This window comes from Homo sapiens, chromosome 12 (assembly GCF_000001405.40).
Source record: "Homo sapiens chromosome 12, GRCh38.p14 Primary Assembly".
Lineage (NCBI taxonomy): Eukaryota > Metazoa > Chordata > Mammalia > Primates > Hominidae > Homo > Homo sapiens.
This window is the reverse complement of record NC_000012.12, coordinates 100,096,611-100,115,743: the sequence shown is the minus strand read 5'-3', so window position 1 is coordinate 100,115,743 and position 19,133 is coordinate 100,096,611. Positions and strand designations below refer to the sequence as shown.

At 39.1% G+C, this 19,133-nt stretch overlaps 1 protein-coding gene across 6 annotated transcripts in view; it reads left to right on the top strand.

The window, feature by feature from the left end:
• Positions 1-19,133, top strand: part of BLTP3B (bridge-like lipid transfer protein family member 3B) — a 105,803-nt gene that overhangs the window by 27,131 nt on the left and 59,539 nt on the right. For all 6 annotated transcript variants that reach the window (XR_007063059.1, XM_005268739.5, NM_015054.2 and 3 more), the window contains 5 exons: positions 7,196-7,358; positions 11,793-11,831; positions 12,887-12,978; positions 17,203-17,392; positions 18,239-18,379. Coding sequence is in view for 5 of the 6 variants with exons in the window: in XM_005268739.5 (XP_005268796.1) it covers positions 7,196-7,358; positions 11,793-11,831; positions 12,887-12,978; positions 17,203-17,392; positions 18,239-18,379 (625 nt within the window). In the remaining variant the exon portion in view is untranslated. The remainder of the gene's footprint in view (positions 1-7,195; positions 7,359-11,792; positions 11,832-12,886; positions 12,979-17,202; positions 17,393-18,238; positions 18,380-19,133) is intronic.

Below are 19,133 nucleotides of genomic sequence, written 5' to 3'. Positions count from 1 at the left end.
GTCACCAAGGCTGGAGTACAGTGGCACGATCACAGCTCTGCAGCCTCAATCTCCCGGGCTTGAGGGATCTTCCTACCTCAGTCTCCCAGGTAGCTACAGGCGTGTGCCACCGTGCCTAGCTAATTTAAAAATTTTTTGTAGAGACAAGGTCTCACTATGTTGCCCAGGCTTGCCTGAAACTCCTGAGCTAAAGTGATCCACCTGGCTTTGGCCTCCCGAATTGCTGGGATTCCAAGTGTGAGCCACGACGCCCGGCCTATACTTACTTATTGTTTTAAACTTTAGTTCATACCTTGGCTTGTGAAATCATTTTAGTTATGATCACTATTTTATTTTTTGAGACAGAGTTTCACCCTGTCGCCTAGGCTGGAGTGTGGTGGTGTGATCTCAGCTCACTGCAACCTCTGCTTTCCAAGCTCAAATGATTCTTCTGCCTCAGCCTCCCAAGTAGCTGGGATTACAGGCGCCTGCCACCACATCTGGCTAATGTTTGGTATTTTTAGTGGAGACGGGGTTTCGCGTGTTGGACAGGCTGGTCTCGAATTGCTGACCTCAGATGATCCACCCACCTTGGCCTTCCGAAGTGCTGAGATTACAGGCGTGAGCTACTGCGCCTGGCCGATCACTATTTTAAAAGACTGTAATAGAACATATCAGACGATTAAAATACTGCTTCATGAAATTTTGCACCTTTTTTTTGTATCCTTACGAAATTGTTATGTATAGTGTATTTCTTGCCTTAGGTTATGTAAAAAAATTTGAAAATCCCTTAACTAATTCACATTGTGAGCCTGGAGATAATCAAGTACCTCAAATAATGAAGTGTTGTATTAAAAGAGGTACACCTGGAGTGACAGGAGTGTAGGTGATTAAAAGAGAAAATGAGGAAATAGGAGTTTCTGTAGAAAAGCCTTGATCTGTTTCTTAGTTTTGATTGAAGGGATCTTTATGGTTGCATGATGAGGCCCATGGGCTGTGAAAGGATTTAATTAGTTACAGATAATAACTTAGTGATCCAAGCCAAAGTACTTGGCAGTCTGTCAGATTTGGGCAAGTTTTTCTGAAAACATCTTCTCTTGTATGACTTTAAAATGTGGCTTTAAGGTATTTTCCCATCTGAAAGTATTGTTTTGAATAAAATCAAACAGAAGCTGTTAAATTCATTTGCTTGCATACACATACTGGTTCTTATAAAACTCTTCATATGATAATGAGAATTTCATCCTTGTAGGGACACACAGTCTTGGGATACTAGCTAGTGATGTCAATTACTGGTTCATATTAAGGATTTGAATTGGGTCCAGTTGAGAAGAATGGAAAATGGTGGAGAATAATCTTTTCAGTACCTTTCAGTTCTAAACGTTGTGGCTATGTGTTTCTCAGTCACTCTCCATTATTAATTTATAAGTTTGATCCCAAAGTAGTCTATTTGTTTCAAATTTCTGGAGGAAAGAATATGATCGAATAGCCTAGATGCCATGTCAACCTGTAGATCAATCACTATAACCAAGGAAGTATGTTAAAAAAATCTTAGATGTGCATCTTTCCCCTGTATATACAGTTTTTCCCAGAGAAGAATGAATCACTGTTAGCTGGGTAGCCACTCCAAGAGGTATTTATTAATAACAAGCTAAATAATTGAATTATAACCATTAAATATTGAATTACAGTGCTGAAATAATTTACTTTCTAGGTGACTAAAATTAATCATTTTCTTTAAGGCAGTGGTTCTTAGCATATTCTGTGTCCAAAAACCCCCTTTGAAAGTCTGATAAAATATTGTAGACTCCTTGAAGCCCATCTAATACCTGCAGATCAAGAGTGCCTACTTTTTAAGTTTATTAATTAAACAATCTAACATGCATTGTTAAATTCCCTGTAACATCTAGTTTTTCATGTTATACCATGAAATATTGTATAATGGGAATTGTTTTTCTCTTTTTTTTTTTTCTGAGACAGGGTGTCTCTATGTTGCCCAGACTAGTGTCAAACTCTTGGCCTCAAGTTATCTTCCTACCTTGGCCTCCCAAAGTGCTGGGATTAGAGGCCTGAGCCAACCTGTCTGGCCTATATCTTAGTCTTAATAATAGTGAACACTTACTGAGTTATTACTCATATTGGGGATCATAACTAGCATTTTACATGTTCTGAGTTAATCCTTAAAACAACTCTGTGAGGCAGGTACTATTATCCCCATGTTACAGATGAGGAATCTGAGATATAGGTTAAATAGTAAGCAGTAGATAGCATTTTACCTCTTGTTGAGATGAGATTTTTTTTTTACACAGAGTCTTACTCTGTCTCCCAGGCTGGAGTGCAGTGGGGCAATCTCAGCTCACTGCAACCTCTGCCTCCTGGGTTCAAGTGATTCTCCTGTCTCAGCCTCCAGAGTAGCTGGGATCCACACCCAGCTAATTTTTCTGTATTTTTAGTAGGGACGAGGTTTCGCCACGTTGGCCAGGATGGTCTCGAACTCCTGACCTCAGGTGATCCAGCCACCTCAGCCTCCCAAAGTGCTGGTATTACAGGCATGAGCCACCGCACCCGGCCGAGATGAGATTCTTTTTGTGTGTGTGACAGGGTCTTACTCTGTCATCCAGGCTGGAGTGCAGTGGTGCTATCATGGTTCACTGCAACCTCGACCTCCTGGGCCCAGGTGATCCCCCCACCTTAGCCTCATGGGTAGCTGGGACTACAGATGCATGCTACCATGCCTGGCTAAGTTTTGTATTTTTTGTAGAGATGGGGTTTTGTCATGTTACCCAGGCTAGTCTTGAACTCCTGGGCTCAAGCAATCCACTTGCCTCAGCCTCCCAGAGTGCTGGGATTACAGGCATGAGCTCCTGTGCCTAGCAAGCTGAGATTCTTTTTTTTTTTTTTTTTTTGAGATGGAGTCTTGCTCTGTCACCAGGCTGGAGTGCAGTGGTGCAATCTCGGCTCACTGCCACCTCCGCCTCCCGGGTTCAGGCAATTCTCCTGCCTCAGCCTCCTGAGATTCTTGGCTTTTTGTGCATTTATTCTCTGTTCCCTTAACCAAATTATAAATCTTTGATTATATGGACCTTTTTGTTTTGTTTTGTTTTGCCCTTAAATGTTTACTTAGTGCAGTGCACATAATTTAGACCCTAATAATGGTGTATTGATTGTAAAATGTATAATCTAAATCAAGTCTACTTTTTTCATTTGCTTGGAAATTTTATTGCTGTTGTTAGCTATTATTTTTGTTTTTTGTTTTGTCTTTGAGACAAAGGCTCTGTCACCCAGGCTGGAGTGCAGTGGCAAAATTATGGATCACTGCAGCCTTGACCTCCCAGGCTCAAGCAATCCTCCCAGCTCAGTCCCCTCAGTAACTGGGACTACAGGAGTGTTCCACTATGCCTGGCTAATTCTTTTTTAAATTTTTTGTAGACATAGGGTCTCACTAATATAGTCACTCACTAATATATAGACCAGCCCAGGCTGGTCTCAAACTCTTGGGCTCAAGTGATCTTCTTGCCTTGGCCTCTCAAACTGCTGAGATTTCAAGCATGAGCCACTGCTCCTGGCTAAATTACATATATTTTAATCCTCCTCATTTTTCACTTTTGCTCTTGCCAGGCCAGGCTTTTTTGGTTTCCCTTGAACTTTTGTCTTTATAAAAGTGGTACATGCTCGTTATAGAATACTTATACAGAGAAGTATAAATAAGGAGAAGTAAATCTAGGCTGGGTGTGGTGGTTCACACCTGTAATCCCAGCACTTTGGGAGGCTGAGGCAGGAGGATTGCTTGACCCCAGGGATTCGATATCAGCCTGAGCAACATAGTGAGTCCCTGTCTTTAAAAAATAACTAGCTGGGGCTGGGCACGGTGGCTCATGCCTGTAATCCCAGCCAGCACTTTGGGAGGCCGAGGTGGATGGATCACAAGGTCGGGAGTTAGAGACCAGCCTGACCAACATGGTGAAACCCCGTCTCTACTAAAAATACAAAAATTAGCTGGGCGTGGTGGTGCGTGCCTGTCATCCCAGCTTCTCAGGAGGTTGAGGCAGGAGAATCGCTTGAACCCAGAAGGCAGAGGTTGCAATGAGCTGAGATTGTGCCACTGCACTCCATCCTGGGTGACAGAGCAAGACTGTCTCAAAACAAAACAAAACAAACAAACAAAAAAAAACAAAAAACTAGCTGAGCATGGTGGCATGTGCCCATGGTCCCAACTGCTTTGGAGGTGGAGGTTGCAGTGAGCCAAAATCAAACCACTGCACTCTAGCCTGGGCAACAGGGTGAGACCCTGTCTCAAAGTAAATTAAATAAATAAACTAATTAGCTGGGTGTGGTGGTCCCAGCTACTTGGAAAGCTGAGGTGGGATCACCTGAGTCCAGGCGGTCGTGGTTGAAATGAGCCATGATCACACCACTGCACTCCACCCTGGACAACAGAGCGAGACCGTGTCTCAAAAAAGCAAAAAAAAAAAAAAAAAAAAAAAAAATCTAAAACCCCACCAGCCATAGGTAGTCATGGGATTTTATGATGCATTTTTTACATACTTGAAATTATAGCACATAATTTTGTGACTTGAATTTTCATCAAACATTATAATATAAACATTTCTTTATAAGACTGGCAACATATATTACTTGATATGTATGTATTAATAATATAGTGTATTATAATTAGATGGGGTATCCCTCTTGGGACGTTTAGATTGTTTTCACTCTTTTTTTCTTGTAGATATCCTTGAAATGAACATTCTTGTACATACCCAATCAAGGTGTTGCCTGATTTCTTCACTAACCATGCTTCACCTCCATCCCCATATTCCTCCATGCCCAAGACTAAGGATATATAGTCAAATGTTAGAATATATAGTCAAATATTCTGTTTGAGTTACTCAGATTAGTCTGTTGTCCATCCTTCCTTCCCTATAAATATTACAGATAACAGTATTTCTGATATTTTTTCAATTCCACTTTATATCATCTCCCTCCTGTCTTAGAACCTTTATGCATTTTATTCCTCTGCTTGGAATACTTTCTTTCCCTACCCCCTTTTCCTCCTTGCCTAGTTAACTTCTCTTCCTTTAGATACCAGCTCAAAAGTCCCTGTTTCAGAGAAGCTCTGGATTAGAACTCCTGCTATATTCTCTCTTAGTTGTGCCATTTGATCCGTCTCACCAACTAAACTGAAAACTCCACAAGGGCAGGGACCTCAAGTGTACTGCTTCCCAGTATGTGTGTCTGCATAATGAATTCTCAATAAATACTTATTGAGTGTTGTCTTCTGGCTCTAATATTCTGCCTCAGGGAAGTGGCAGGGTTTTTTGTTTGTTATCTATGGTTAGGAATGGCATTCTATGAGAAAGCGTCGTGGTATTGAATCAAGCGTGATCAGAAGCAAGTGTAATACAGCTCAGCATCATTGGTCAAATACATGTGTTAAATGATTGTTGTATTTCTCAGTTGACATCCTGTGAGAAGATATGAATTCAGATAGAATCTGGCTCAAATTCTGGTTTGGAGTCAGTGGAGAAACATGAGTTTATTGATTGGTATTCTTGTTGACAAGTAGGGCATGTGAATAACCCAGTATATAATGTTGCTTTATATTTAATTTCCAAAAAAAGTAAAGACTAACTCTTGTTAGCCAGTAGTTTAGTTTTTTTCAGTAATTTCACTTTTGAAAAATTATTTGTTGGGCATAGTTAGTAATTTTTATTTTTTAGGGTTGTTTGGAAGATAAAGTAATGTATATGAATGTATTTCAAAGTAGATGTGTAATGTATTTTCATTGTTAGTTGTGATATTAGGCAAGTAAGTTCAAGTTTCTCCTTAGGTTTACTTATTCAAAAATTGGGTTAAAATTAGTATAGACCCTAATAGGTTATCATGGGAACTAAATGAAATAGTCACGCATGTATGCCAAGAGCTTGGAACACAGTAAACCCTTGGAAAATGCTCACTCTTACATTAACTATTTCCAATCTTTTTTTTTTTTTTTTTCTGAGACAGGGTCTCACTGTGTCACCCAGGCTGGAGTGCAGTGGCACAATCTCAGCTCACTGCATTCTCCACCTCCTGGACTGAAGCGAAACTCCCACCTCAGCCTCCTGAATAGCTGGGACTACAGGCATGCGCCAACATGCCCAGCTAATATTTTTGTATTTTTAGTAGAGACCAGGTTTCACCATGTTGGCCAGGCTGGTCTTGAACTCCTGCCCTCAAGTGATCCGCCCTCCTCAGACTCCTAAAATGCTGGGATTATAGGTGTGAGCCACGCACCTGGCTGCCTTTATCATTTCTTTGTGTTACAGACATTCCAGTTACACAATTACTTTAAAACGTACAATAAATTATTGTTGACTGTAGTCACTTTGTTGTGCTGTTGAATACTATATCTGTCTTAGTCCGTTTTTATACTGCTATGAAGACATACCTGAGACTGAAGAAAGAAGTTTAATTGGCTTACACTTCTGCATGGCTGGGGAGGCCTCAGGAAACTCACAATCATGGTGGAAGGTGATGGTGAAGCAAGGCATGTTTTACATGGTGGCAGGAGAGAGAGAGAGAGAGAGAGAGAGAGAGAGAGAGAGAGAGAGAGAGAGAGAGAGGAAAACTGCCAGACACTTTTAAATCATCAGATCTTGTGAGAACTCACTCCCTAACTATCATGAGAAACTACCCCCATGATCCAGTCACCTCCCACCAGCTCCTTCCCCTGACATGTGGGGATTACAATTAGAGGTGAGATTTGGGTGGGGACACAGAACCAAACCATATCAGTATTGTATTCATTCTACCTAATTGTATTTTTGTACCCACTACCCATTCCCACCCCTGCTCCCCACCACTACCCTTTCCAGCCTCTGGTGACCATCATTTCTACTCTTGATCTCCATGTATTCAATTGTTTTAATTTTTAGCTCCCACAAATGAACGAGAGTGTGTAAAGTTTGTCTTTCTGTGCCTGGTTTGTTTCACTTAACTGTAGTGTCCTCCAGTTCCATCCATGTTGTTGCAAATGACAGGATCTCATTCTTTTTTATGGCTGAATAATACTCCATCGTGTATATGTACCACATTTTCTTTATCCATTTGTCGTTGATGGACATTATGTTGTGTCCACTCCTATTATATTTTTAGTTCTCTGTATATTTGAAAAAATGACTCTGGAGTATAGTAACTGACACATAAATAAATGTCAATGTGTATTCTCTTTCAGATTTACCAAAAATTTATCTCCTGACAAGATAAATCTAAGTACCCTTAAAGGAGAAGGTGAACTGAAGAATTTGGAGTTGGATGAAGAAGTACTCCAGAATATGTTGGATTTGCCAACATGGCTTGCTATCAACAAAGTTTTTTGTAATAAAGCGTCCATTAGGGTGAGACTTTGATATCTGTGGCTTGATATTTGTGGAAGGCCTTTCATGTTTTCCTTCTATATTTTGGCTCTAGCTTTTAAAATACTTAATTTTAGATAATTGTGTAAAAACATTTTTATTAATATAATTTCAAAAGAAAGATACCTTTGCATAAATGTGTGCCTTATGTGTAAAGGCATATATTAACTACTTTATAGATCTTAATTTTTGTGTAAAGTGATTCCATTAATATTTCAAAATTATTAATTTGTTAATAAAATAATTGCATCCATTTGGTACATGTTCAAAGATAGTTTTTTCATAAGTTTTATTGTCAAATGGGACAATCTAAACTTGTAGTGAGTTGCTGGGCATGGTGGCTCACACCTGTAATCCCAGCACTTTGGAAGGCCGAGGTAGGCGGATTGCTTGAGCCCAGGAGTTTGAGACTAGCCTGGGTAACATAATGAGACTGCATCTATACTAAAAATAAAAATAAAAAAATAGCCCAACATGGTAGCACATGCGCCTGTAGGCCCAGCTACTTGGGAAGCTGAAGCAGGATGATCGGTTGAGTCTGGAAGGGTGAGGCTGCAGTGAGTCATGATTGTGCCACTGCACTCCAGCCTGGGTGACGGAGTGAGACCCTGTCTCAAAACAATTTTTAAAAAGTAGTGAGTAAATACTTTTCAAATGAAGACATGAGAACTAATAAATTTGCAGTTTTATCCCTTTTCTTCATTAGTTTCTTTTTCATTTTGAGATTTTTTTTTGAGACGGAGTCTTGCTCTGTCACCAGGCTGGAGTGCAGTGGTGCAATCTCAGCTCACTGCAACCTCTGCCTCCCGGGTTCAAGCGATTCCCCTGCCTCAGCCTCCCAAGTAGCTGGGATTTCAGGCACGTGCCACCACGTCTGGCTAATTTTTTTGTATTTTAGTAGAGATGGGGTTTCACCATGTTGGCCGAGATGGTCTCAATCTCCTCACCTTGTGATCCGCCCGTGCCCAGCCCATTTTGAGATTTTTAAGGGTCTCTGTTTACTGTTAGTATCATTCCTATTATTATTATTATTATAACTTATTATTCTACTTATCTTTTTTTTTTTTTTTTTTTTTTTGGGAGATGGAGTCTTGCTCTGTCACCCAGGCTGGAGTGCAGTGGCACCGTCTTGGCTCACTGCAGCCTCTACCTCCCAGGTTCATGCAATTCTCCTGCCTCAGCCTTCCAAGTAGCTGGAATTATAGGCGCATGCCACCACACCTGGCTAATTTTCGTATTTTTAGTAGAGATGGGGTTTCATCCTGTTGGCCATGCTGGTCTCAAATTCCTGACAGGTGATCCACCACCCGCCTCTGCCTCCCAAAGTGCTGGGATTACAGTATGAGCCACCGTGCCCGGCTGACCTCTACTTATCTTTAATCATATGTCAATTTGTGTCACTTCTTGGTCTTAAAGATGAGGCTTTGTTTAAGAGTTGTCTGCTTAGTTGAAATACTGCATGCTGATTGTTTCCTAAAACTAAAATTTGGGCTCCTAAGAAAAGATTATAGAAAAGTTCCTATATCCTTTGATGGTCACTTTTAATTTTTGTTCTATCCTTTGGAAACCTAAATATCTACAAAGACTTGACACTTTCAGTAAATTTTTTTTTATTTCAATAGCTTTAGAGATACAAGTGGTTTTTGTTTACATGAGTGAATTGTATAGTGGTAAAGTCTGGGATTTTAGTGCATCTGTCAGCTGAGTAGTGTATATTGTACTCAGGAAGTAGTTTCATCCCTCATCCCTCTCCTACCCCTACCCACCTTCTGAGTCTTCAAAGTCCATTATGCCACTCTGTATGCCTTTGCATACCCATAGTTCACCTCACACTTAAAAGAACATGTGGTATTTGGTTTTCAATTCATGTTACTTCACTTAGAATAATGGCCTCCAGTTCTTTTCAAGTTGCTGCAAAAGACATTATTTTGCTCTTTTTTTATGGCTGAGTAGTATTCCATGGTATTTATGTACCACATTTTCTGTAACCACTCATAGGTTGATGGGCACTTAGATTGATTCCATATCTTTGCAATTGTGCATTGTGTTGCAATAGACATATGTGTCCAGGTGTCTTTTTTTTTTTTTAATAGAGTCATGTTTGAAATGAGGACCAGTGTCTTTTTCATATAGTGACTTCTCTTCCTTTGGATAGGTACCCACTCGGTAGTGGGATTGCTGGATCGAATGGTAGATCTACTTTTAGTTCTTTGAGAAATTTCTATACTGTTTTCTATTGAGGTTGTACTAACTTATATTCCTACCAGCAGTGTATAAGCATTCCTTTTTCATCACTTCCATGCCAACATCGATTGTTTTTCAACTTTTTAGTAATGGCCATTCTGGCTGGAAAAAGGTGGTGTCTCAATGTGTTTTTAATTTGCATTTCCCTTATGATTAATGATTTTGAGCATTTTTTCATGTGGTTGTTGGCCATTTGTATATCTTCTTTTGCAAAATGTCTGTTCATGTCCTTGCTCACTTTTTAATGGGCGTGTTTTTTTTCTTGCTGATTTGTTTGAGTTCCTTGTAGATTCTGAATATTAGTCCTTTGTCAGACACATAATTTGTGCATATTTTCTTTGTCAGATGCATAGTTTGTGAATATTGACAATCCGTAGGTTGTCAGTTTACTCAGATGATTATTTCTTTTGTTGTGTAGAAGCGTTTTAGTTTAATTAGGTCTCATTTATTTTTGTTGCATTTGCTTTTGGGGTCTCAGTCATAAATTCTTTGCCTAGGCCAACGTTCAGAAGAGTTTTTCCTAGGTTTTCTTCCACAGTTTTTATGGTTTCAGATCTTAGATTTAAAACTTTCATTTATCTTGAGTTAATTTTTGTATACAGTAAGAGATAGGGATCCAATTTCATTCTTCTACATGTGGCTATCCACTTTTTCCAGCACCATTTATTGAATATGGTGTCCTTTCTCCAGTTTGTGTTTTTGTATGCTTTGTCAAAGATCAGTTGATTGTTAGTATTTGGCTTTATTTCTTGGTTCTCTATTCTGTTCCATTGGCCTGTGTATTCTGTTCAATGGAACAGAAACAGAATACTTTATTCTGTTCCATTGGTCCATGTGCCTATTTTTACACCTGTTCCATGCTGTTTTGGTTACTATAGACTTGCATAATTTGAAGTTGGGTAATGTGATGCCTCCAGTTTTGTTCTTTTTGCTTAGGATTGCTTTGGCTATTTGGGTTCTTTTTTGGTTCCATATGAAGTTTAGGATTGTTTTTTCTAATTCTGTGAAAAATGATGTTAGTACTTTGAGAAGAATTGTGTTGAATTTGTAGATTGCTTTGGGCAGTATGGTCATTTTCACAGTATAGATTCTTCCAGTCCACGAGTATGGGATATATTTCCATTTGCTTATGTCATCTATGATTTTCCACAGTGTTTTGTAGTTCTCCATGTGGAGATCTTTCAACTCCTTGGTTAGGTATATTCCTACATTTTTTTTTTTTTTTTTTTTTTTTTTTTTGTAGTAGCAGTAGTTATTGTAAAAGGGATTGAGTTCCTGATTTGATTATCAGCGTGGTTTTTGTTGGTTTGTAGCAGTGCTACTAATTTGTGTACGTTGATTTTGTAACCTAAACCTTACTGAATTTATTTATTAGATCTAAGAGCCTTTTGGAGGCAAAACTTGGCATTTTTAGTACAGGGTATATCAACATTATGTATTTGATGTTTCCTACATTTTATATTAATGGCCGAACTTTTGTATTTGTCTTGAATATTTACAAAATGATTGCTCAGAATTTTAGGATTAAACAGGTTGTTAAGCTCTTCATTTAAATTATGATATTAAGATTTGTTTTAAGGATTGTTAAAAAAAAAAAGATACTTAAAAGAACCTGAAATTGGCCAGGCATGGTGGTGCGTGCCTGTAATCCCAGCACCTTGAGAGGCCGAGTTGGGTGGATCATTTGAGGCCAGGAGTTAGAGACCAGTCTAGCCACCATATCAAAACACTGTCTCTACTAAAAATACAAAAATTAGCCGGGCGTGGTGGCACTTGATTGTAATCTCAGCTACTGGGAGGCTGAGGCACGAGAATTGCTTGAACCCAGGAGGTGGAGGTTGCAGTGAGCCGATATCGTGCCACTGCACTCCAGTCTGGGCAACAGAAAGAGACTCTGTCTCAAAAAAAAAAAAAAAAAAGAAAAAAAGAACTTACAATTTCTATTCAAAAGATGTCTGAGGAGATATAGCTAGTAATAATTTCTTAAATAAAATGGGTACATCTGGTTTCAAAAGTATGAGTGAGTTGCTTAGTTTATTTTGTAGTTTAAGAAAAGTGATTTTATATAATTTGGTGTGTCTGTCCTATATTAATATAACACCTGTATTGATTACTGTTTACATTATTTTCTTCTTAATGATTGATCTTAAATTAAAAATTTTTCATTTGTAGATCCCATGGACAAAACTGAAAACACATCCCATCTGTTTGGTGAGTTCTGAAACCACTTTAGAAATAAACATTTATATATATACATTATCTAGCTACTCTGTTCATAGTAATCTTTTGTTTCATGGAAATATAGTCTGGATTTTTCACCAGTTAGGTTTCATTTTATTTTGATAGGACTCAGGTTTTTCATCCTTTAAATGAGAAGCTTTAACCTTAAAGTAGGAGCATCTTTAAAGTTTTTCAGGTCTAGAATACTGTGTTCTAAATTGGTATAGTATTTTATTGCATCATTTAACTCTTTGTTGATGTACTATGGGATTATTCTTTCAGTAACATTTGATCCAGACTGTCTTTGTTTCTCCTTTTAGTGATCTAGTAAATTATGAAATATGTTCTTTAATATACTTTGCTTTTTAAGGAAAGTTGAAGAAAATTGATCATTTGTTCGTTCATTTAAAAAATACAATGATCAAGAACATGAATAAAACAAGACAGTTTCAGATAATAATAAATGCTATATATGAAATAGAGAATGAAGAATGACTGGAGTAGTGTTAGTGATGGCGATTAAGGACATTAGATCTTTCTTCAAGGAGAAAAATATTACCCTGAGAAAGAACCTTTTCCATTATGGGAGTGTTTATTTTTTTTCACATTTCCTGCTTATTTCATATTTCCCATAGTTTTGTGTCTCATAGCTCAGATCTTAGATTGTGATAAGCTTTTTGGGGTAGTTCAGTCCTACTTATTAATATATAATTTCATCAATGAATATATCTGGGAGTAGAGATTCTGTTTTCATGAAATCTGATGATTTTAGTAGTTAATGGCTATGTCTTAATTCCCCACCCCCCAACACCTGTAATACACATAGCTTTTCCACCAGATAATAAATGCCTTGAGAACTGATTGAGTGCTTTGTGTTCTTTTTTGGCATTTGTCTTTTTAGACCTGTAGAGAGGCACTTAAATGACTCTGCTCACTTTTTACTTTCTTCCTAAAGAAAAATGAAAGAGAAAATAATCTTAAATAATACTTTAATAATATACGTAGAATAAATAATCTAATTGTTTATATTTTAACGTTTTTATTAGTCCCTGGATAAAGTAATAATGGAAATGAGTACATGTGAAGAACCAAGAAGCCCTAATGGCCCATCACCAATTGCAACTGCTTCAGGACAAAGGTAAGCTACTTCCATTAATCTGCATGACTGCCAATAACAGGACATTAAAAAAAAAAAAAAAAAAAGCCTTAACCTCAAATGGCCTCTATTTCAGTCAGCTCTCCCATCAAACATTTTACAATTTTAGTTATATACATTGCAAAGTTGCAGATTTGACTTTTAACTTTCTTTATTCATCTTGCTTTCCTTGCTATTATTAAATAATAGTGATTAACTAATGGCAGAGCAGCAACAGAAAATGGAAGCAGAAGAATTTAGGCATTATATAAATCAGATAGCCTCTGATCAGTTTCTCTGCATATCATTTTCTGTGCATCAGTGGAACTTTTATGACTCTTAAGAGTTAAGTTGGGAGGCTGGGAGCGGTGGCTCATGCCTGTAATCCTAGCACTTTGGGAGGCCGAGGCGGGTGGATTCCCTGGACTCAGGTGTTTGAGACCAGCCTGGGCAAAACGGTGAAACCCTGTCTCTACTAAAATACAAAAAACTTTAGCTGGGCATGGCGCCATGCACCTTTAATCCCAGTTACTTGGGAGGCTGAGGCAGGAGAATTGCTTGAACCCGGGAGGCGGAGGTTATAGTGAGCCAAGATCGCGCCATTGCACTCCAGCCTTGGTGACAGAGCGAGACTCCGTCTCAAAAAAAAAAAAAAAAAGAGTTAAGTTGGGCTCGGTGTAGTGGCCCACGCCTGTAATACCAGCACTTTGGGAGGCTGAGGTGGGCGGATCACCTGAGGTCAGGAGTTTGCCACCAGCTTGACCAACATGGTGAAACCCCGTCTCTACCAAAAATACAAAAACTGGGTGCGGTGGTATACGCCTGTATTCCCAGCTACTGAGGAGGCCCAGGCAGGAGAATTGCTTGAACCCGGGAGGTCAAGGCTGCAGTGAGCTGAGCTCATGCCACTGCACTGCAGCCTGGGTGATGGAGAGAGACTCTGTCTCAAAAACAAAGAGTTAAGTTGATGCCTTAAATTACAGACCTTTTGGGTTACTCTAAAATTCATTAAGTTTAAAATGTTTTTGCTTTCCACAGGTTGTATTTTGATAGATGAAAATCAGATGCTAATACAGCAGAAGTATGGGGATCATTTCATAAAGTCTTTTTGAAAAGTTAGAAGTTATTAAATTTTTAAAAATATGTTGTCTGCTTTTTTGCACTCAGTGAAATTTAAATCTAGAACTATACATGATTTTTCTACAACAGGATTTCTGCATTATTTTTGCGTTCACATTAATTGTTGACATAGATTTTTAATGTGATTAATGCCTCCTCATATTGCGTAAAATAGCAGCTCTGAACATGTATAGTATTCTAGGTGTTATGTAAAACAATTGATAAAACTTTTCTTGAGGATGAATGCATTCGTGTGTGTACACAGACACACACTCACTTACTCCTGTTTTACAAAGGTTGAGCCACCTTTATGTTAGTGCATGCCATGAGAATACCTACAGTGCATGCCATGGGAATCTAATGGTGATTCGTTCCACTTCTAAGAGTTGACTAAAGGCCAGGTTTATCAGATGTGCAGTTTATATTTGGACTACAGATATTAGTGACTGGGAAAAGAGCTTTCATGTTAACTTCTTTGTAATGTAGCATCATCCTGCAACTTCAGATTTTACAGGTTAGATTATGATTTCAGTTTTCATAGAATAGTTGTTGGCCTTTAGGTTGGCTAGAGTCGGAAAGAACTAAAATGAATCATTTTGTCCTTGTGTGCTTAGTATAGTTGATAGTGTTCTTCCTAATTCTTGTTTTTATAGTATCATAAGCTTTATAATTTTGGCTTTCTAATCATGTGATGATTTAAACTATTTAAATCATCCTCATATTTTGACATATGGCAGTATGGTTAATCTATTTCAGCATTTTTTCAGACTTGCCTGATTGTAACAGTCATTTAGAGTGCTTATTAAATCTACAAAGTCTCTGAAGCTCCTTTTCTTGAATTTCTGATTCAGTAGGTCTGGAATGGATATCAATAAAATGAATACATTCATTGAGTGGTGTTCAGAGTAAAAAAAAAAAAAAATAGAATGTGAATATGTATTTTTGGGTCTCACTCTGTTGCCCAGGCTGGAATGCAGTGGCATGATCTTGGCTCACTGCAGCCTTGACCTCCCAGGCTCAATCGATCCTCCCACCTCAGCCTCCCAAGTAGTTGGGACTACAGGTGCAAGCCACCATACCTGGCTAGTTTTTTGTATTTTTTGTAGAGATGGTGGTCTCCATGTGTTGCCTAGGCTGATTTTAACTCCTGGGCTCAAGCAATCCTCCTCCCTTTGCCTCTCAAAGTGCTTGGATTATAGCTGTGAGCTACTGTGCCCAGCCAAAAAGTCTTTTACATTTTAAGAAGAGTATTAAAAAAATTTTTTTGCAGCCCTGAGAACCAGAAAAGGTTTAGAGAATGAGAAGAGCGTTTTTTTAAAAAATTATTTTTTTATTTTTATTTTTTGAGACAAGGTCTCACTCTGTTGCCCAGGCTGGAGTGCAGTGGTGCCATCTCAGCTCACTGCAACCTCCACCTCCCATACTGAAGCGATCCTCTCAGCTCAGCCTCCCGAGTAGCTGGGACTACAGGCATGCGCCACCATGCCCAGTTAACTTTTTTGTATTTTTAATAGAGACAGGATTTCTCCTTGTTGGTCAGGCTGGTCTGGAACTCCTGGGCTAAAGTGATCCACCTGCCTTGGCCTCCCACAGTGCTAGGATTATAGGTGACAGCCACTGTCACCATGCCTGGCTGAGAATAGCATTTTTTTTTTTTTAATAATTTATATGTAACTAGACTAGATTGTTGTGTCTGAGGTTTGTTTTCCTGTTTTTTTTTTTGAAATGTGATCTCTCTCTGTCACCCAGGCTGGACTGCAGTGGCATGATCACAGCTCACTGCAGCGTCAACCTCCTGGCCTCAAGTGATCCTCCCACCTCAGCTTCCCAAGTAGCTGGGACCACAGACATGCACCACCATGTCCAGCTAATTAATTAATTAATCAATTAGTTAATTAATTTTGAGACAAGGTCTCGCCCTGTTGCCCAGGCTAGAGTGCAGTGGTTTCATCTCAGCTCACTGCAACCTCTGCCTCCTGGGCTCAAGAGATCCTCCCACTGCAGCCTTGTGAGTATCTGGGACCACAGGCAAGTGTTACCATGCTCAGCTAATTTTTAAATTTTCTACGGATACGAGATCTGTCTGTGTTGTCCAGGCTGGTCTTGAACTCCTAGGTTCAAGTGGCCTCCCAAAGTGCTGGGATTACAGGCATGAGCTACCATGTGTGGCCTCTTAAAATATTTTGTGGAGACAGGGATCTTGCTATATTGCCCAGGCTAGTTTCAAACTCCAGGTTCAAGAGATCCTCCTGCCTTGGCCTCCCAAAGTGCTGAGATTACAGGCGTGAGCCACCAGGCCCAGCTTAGATTATTGTTTTAATAAAAAACATTTATTTTTTCAATATAAAAATGAATAAACTGGGCCTGGTGGCTCACGCCTGTAATCCCATCACTTTGGGAGGCCAAGGTGGGCAGATCATCTGAGGACAGGAGTTTGAGACCAGCCTGGCCAATATGGTGAAACCTGATCTCTACTAAAAATACAAAAAATTAGCCAGGTATGGTGGTGCATGCCTGTAATCCCAGCCACTCCGGAGGCTGAGGCAGAAGAATTGCTGGAACCCGGGAGGTAGAGGTTGCAGTGAGCTGAGATCATGCCACTGCACTCCAGCCTGGGCGACAGAGTTGAGACTCTTAGGGAAAAAAAAAATAATAAAATGGTGACGTGCAAATTATCTATGTATCTATGTATCTATGTATCTATGTGTCTGTCTGTCTATCTATCTATCTGTCTATATTTTTAGACAGAGTCTTGCTCTGTCACCCAGGCTGGAGTGCAGTGTTGCAATCTGAGCTAACCGCAACCTCCACCTCCTGGGTTCAGGTGATTCTCGTCCCTCAGCCTCCCAAGTAGCTGAAATTACAGGCATGTGCCACTGTGCCTGGCTAATTTTTTGTGTTTTTTTTTTTAGTAGAGATGGGGTTTCACTGTGTTGGCCAGGCTGGGCTTGAACTCCTGGCCTCAAGTGATCTGCCTGCCTCAGCCTCCCAAAGTGCTGGGAGTACAGGTATGAGCCACCATCCCCAACCAGAAATGTGCAAATATTAATAGAATTTTTAAAAATTAGTTTTGTCATTAGTGTATTTTGTTTTGCTTTGTTTTTCCAGTGAATACGGCTTTGCTGAAAAAGTAGTTGAGGGAATTTCTGTTTCTGTAAATTCTATAGTCATCAGAATTGGAGCAAAAGCCTTCAATGCATCATTTGAACTTTCTCAGCTTCGGATCTATAGTGTAAATGCACACTGGGAACATGGAGATTTGAGATTTACTCGTATTCAGGATCCACAGAGAGGAGAGGTAACATTTTTTTCTTTCTTTTTTAAATGTTTCATTTAGTGACAAGTAAAAGAGGACGATTAAAAAAATCACATCTCATGGTTGCCTTTTAACTTTGCTTTTCTCTGTATTACTTTTTTTGGGGAGGGTGCGGGGAGACAGGGTCTCACTCTGTTGCTCAGGCTGGAGTGCAGTGGCGCAATCACGGCTCACTGCAGCCTTGACCTCCCTGGGCTCAGGTGATCCTCCCACCTCAGCATCTTGAGTAGCTGGGACTAACAGCATGTACTACTGCGCCTGCCTAATTTTTGTATTTTTGGTAGAGACAGGGTTTTGCCATGTTGCCCAGGCTGGTCTCATACTCCTGGGCTCAAGCTATCCACCTGCCTTGTCCTCCCATAGTGCTCTGAGATTACAGGCCTGAACCATTGCACCCAGCTCTCTGTATTACTCTTAATCATTCATTTATAAAATGTGCACATTTTAATGTCTTTACTCTAGTAAATCTTTCCATTTAAAGCCCTATTTTAACTTCTCAGCTACTCAGAATTGAATTTTTAAATTCCCCAAACTAAAATATGTTGTTTGTTTCTTGGTAACGTGATTTCATGCATTTGAGCTTTACATTAACTGAATTACTTAGATTAAAAGTATTAACAGCTTTACATATGATGAATATGAATATGAAGAGGTGTAATTGAATTTGATGGAATAATGCAATTTACAAAAATAAAAACATGGTGAATATATCTAAAATGTCATGTGAAAATTAACTGAGAATATACATTTGCTTTGTTTTTAAAAATCTACATTTTTCTCATTCTGTTTTGCATGAGTAAGTGAAGTTAATCTCTGTGTTCTCCTTAGGTTTTGACTTTTAAAGAAATAAATTGGCAGATGATAAGAATAGAGGCAGATGCCACCCAAAGTTCACATCTTGAAATTATGTGTGCTCCTGTTCGATTAATAACCAACCAATCAAAAATCAGAGTCACACTTAAAAGAAGGGTGAGTCAACAAGATTACATTTTTGATTCATGTGTTAACTGTTGGATTTGACTTTTTGATTTGTGTGTTAACTATTAGTTAACTATAGGAAATTTTAAACAATGTCTTAGGTGAAATATTGGCATATTACCAGTGGCATATTAAAATAATGCAAAATAAAGGGAGGTATAGTTACTCAGATAATATTTATAGAAAACTGGTATAATGTTCTTCAGTCTTAGGTTTAATAGATTTTTCAAAGGTTTTTTGTTGTTCTTTTTATTTTTATCTTATTTTATTTTTTTTGAGATGAGATCTCACTATATTGCCCAGGCTTGATTACAGTGGCATGATCAAGGCTCACTGAAACCTTGACCTCCCAGGCTAAAGTGATTGTCCCACTTCAGCTTCTCAAGTAGCTGGGACAATAGGCACGCCCACTATGCCTGAATAATTTTTTAAGTTACTTGTAGAGATGAGGTCTTATTATATTGCTCAGACTGGTCTTGAGCTCCTGGAGTCATGTGATCCTCCTGCCTCTGCCTTATTTTTATTTTTATTTTTGGAGTTGGGGTCTTGCTCTGTTGCCCAGGCTGGAGTGCAGTGGGACAATCCTAGCTCACTGCAGCCTCGAACTCCTGGGCTCAAGGGATCCTCCTGCCTTAGCCTCCCAAGTAGCTGAGACTACAGGCATGCACCACCATGCCTAGCTTATTTTTATTTTTTTTTTGTAGAGACAGGGTCTCGCTTTGTTGTCCAGGCTGGTCATGAACTC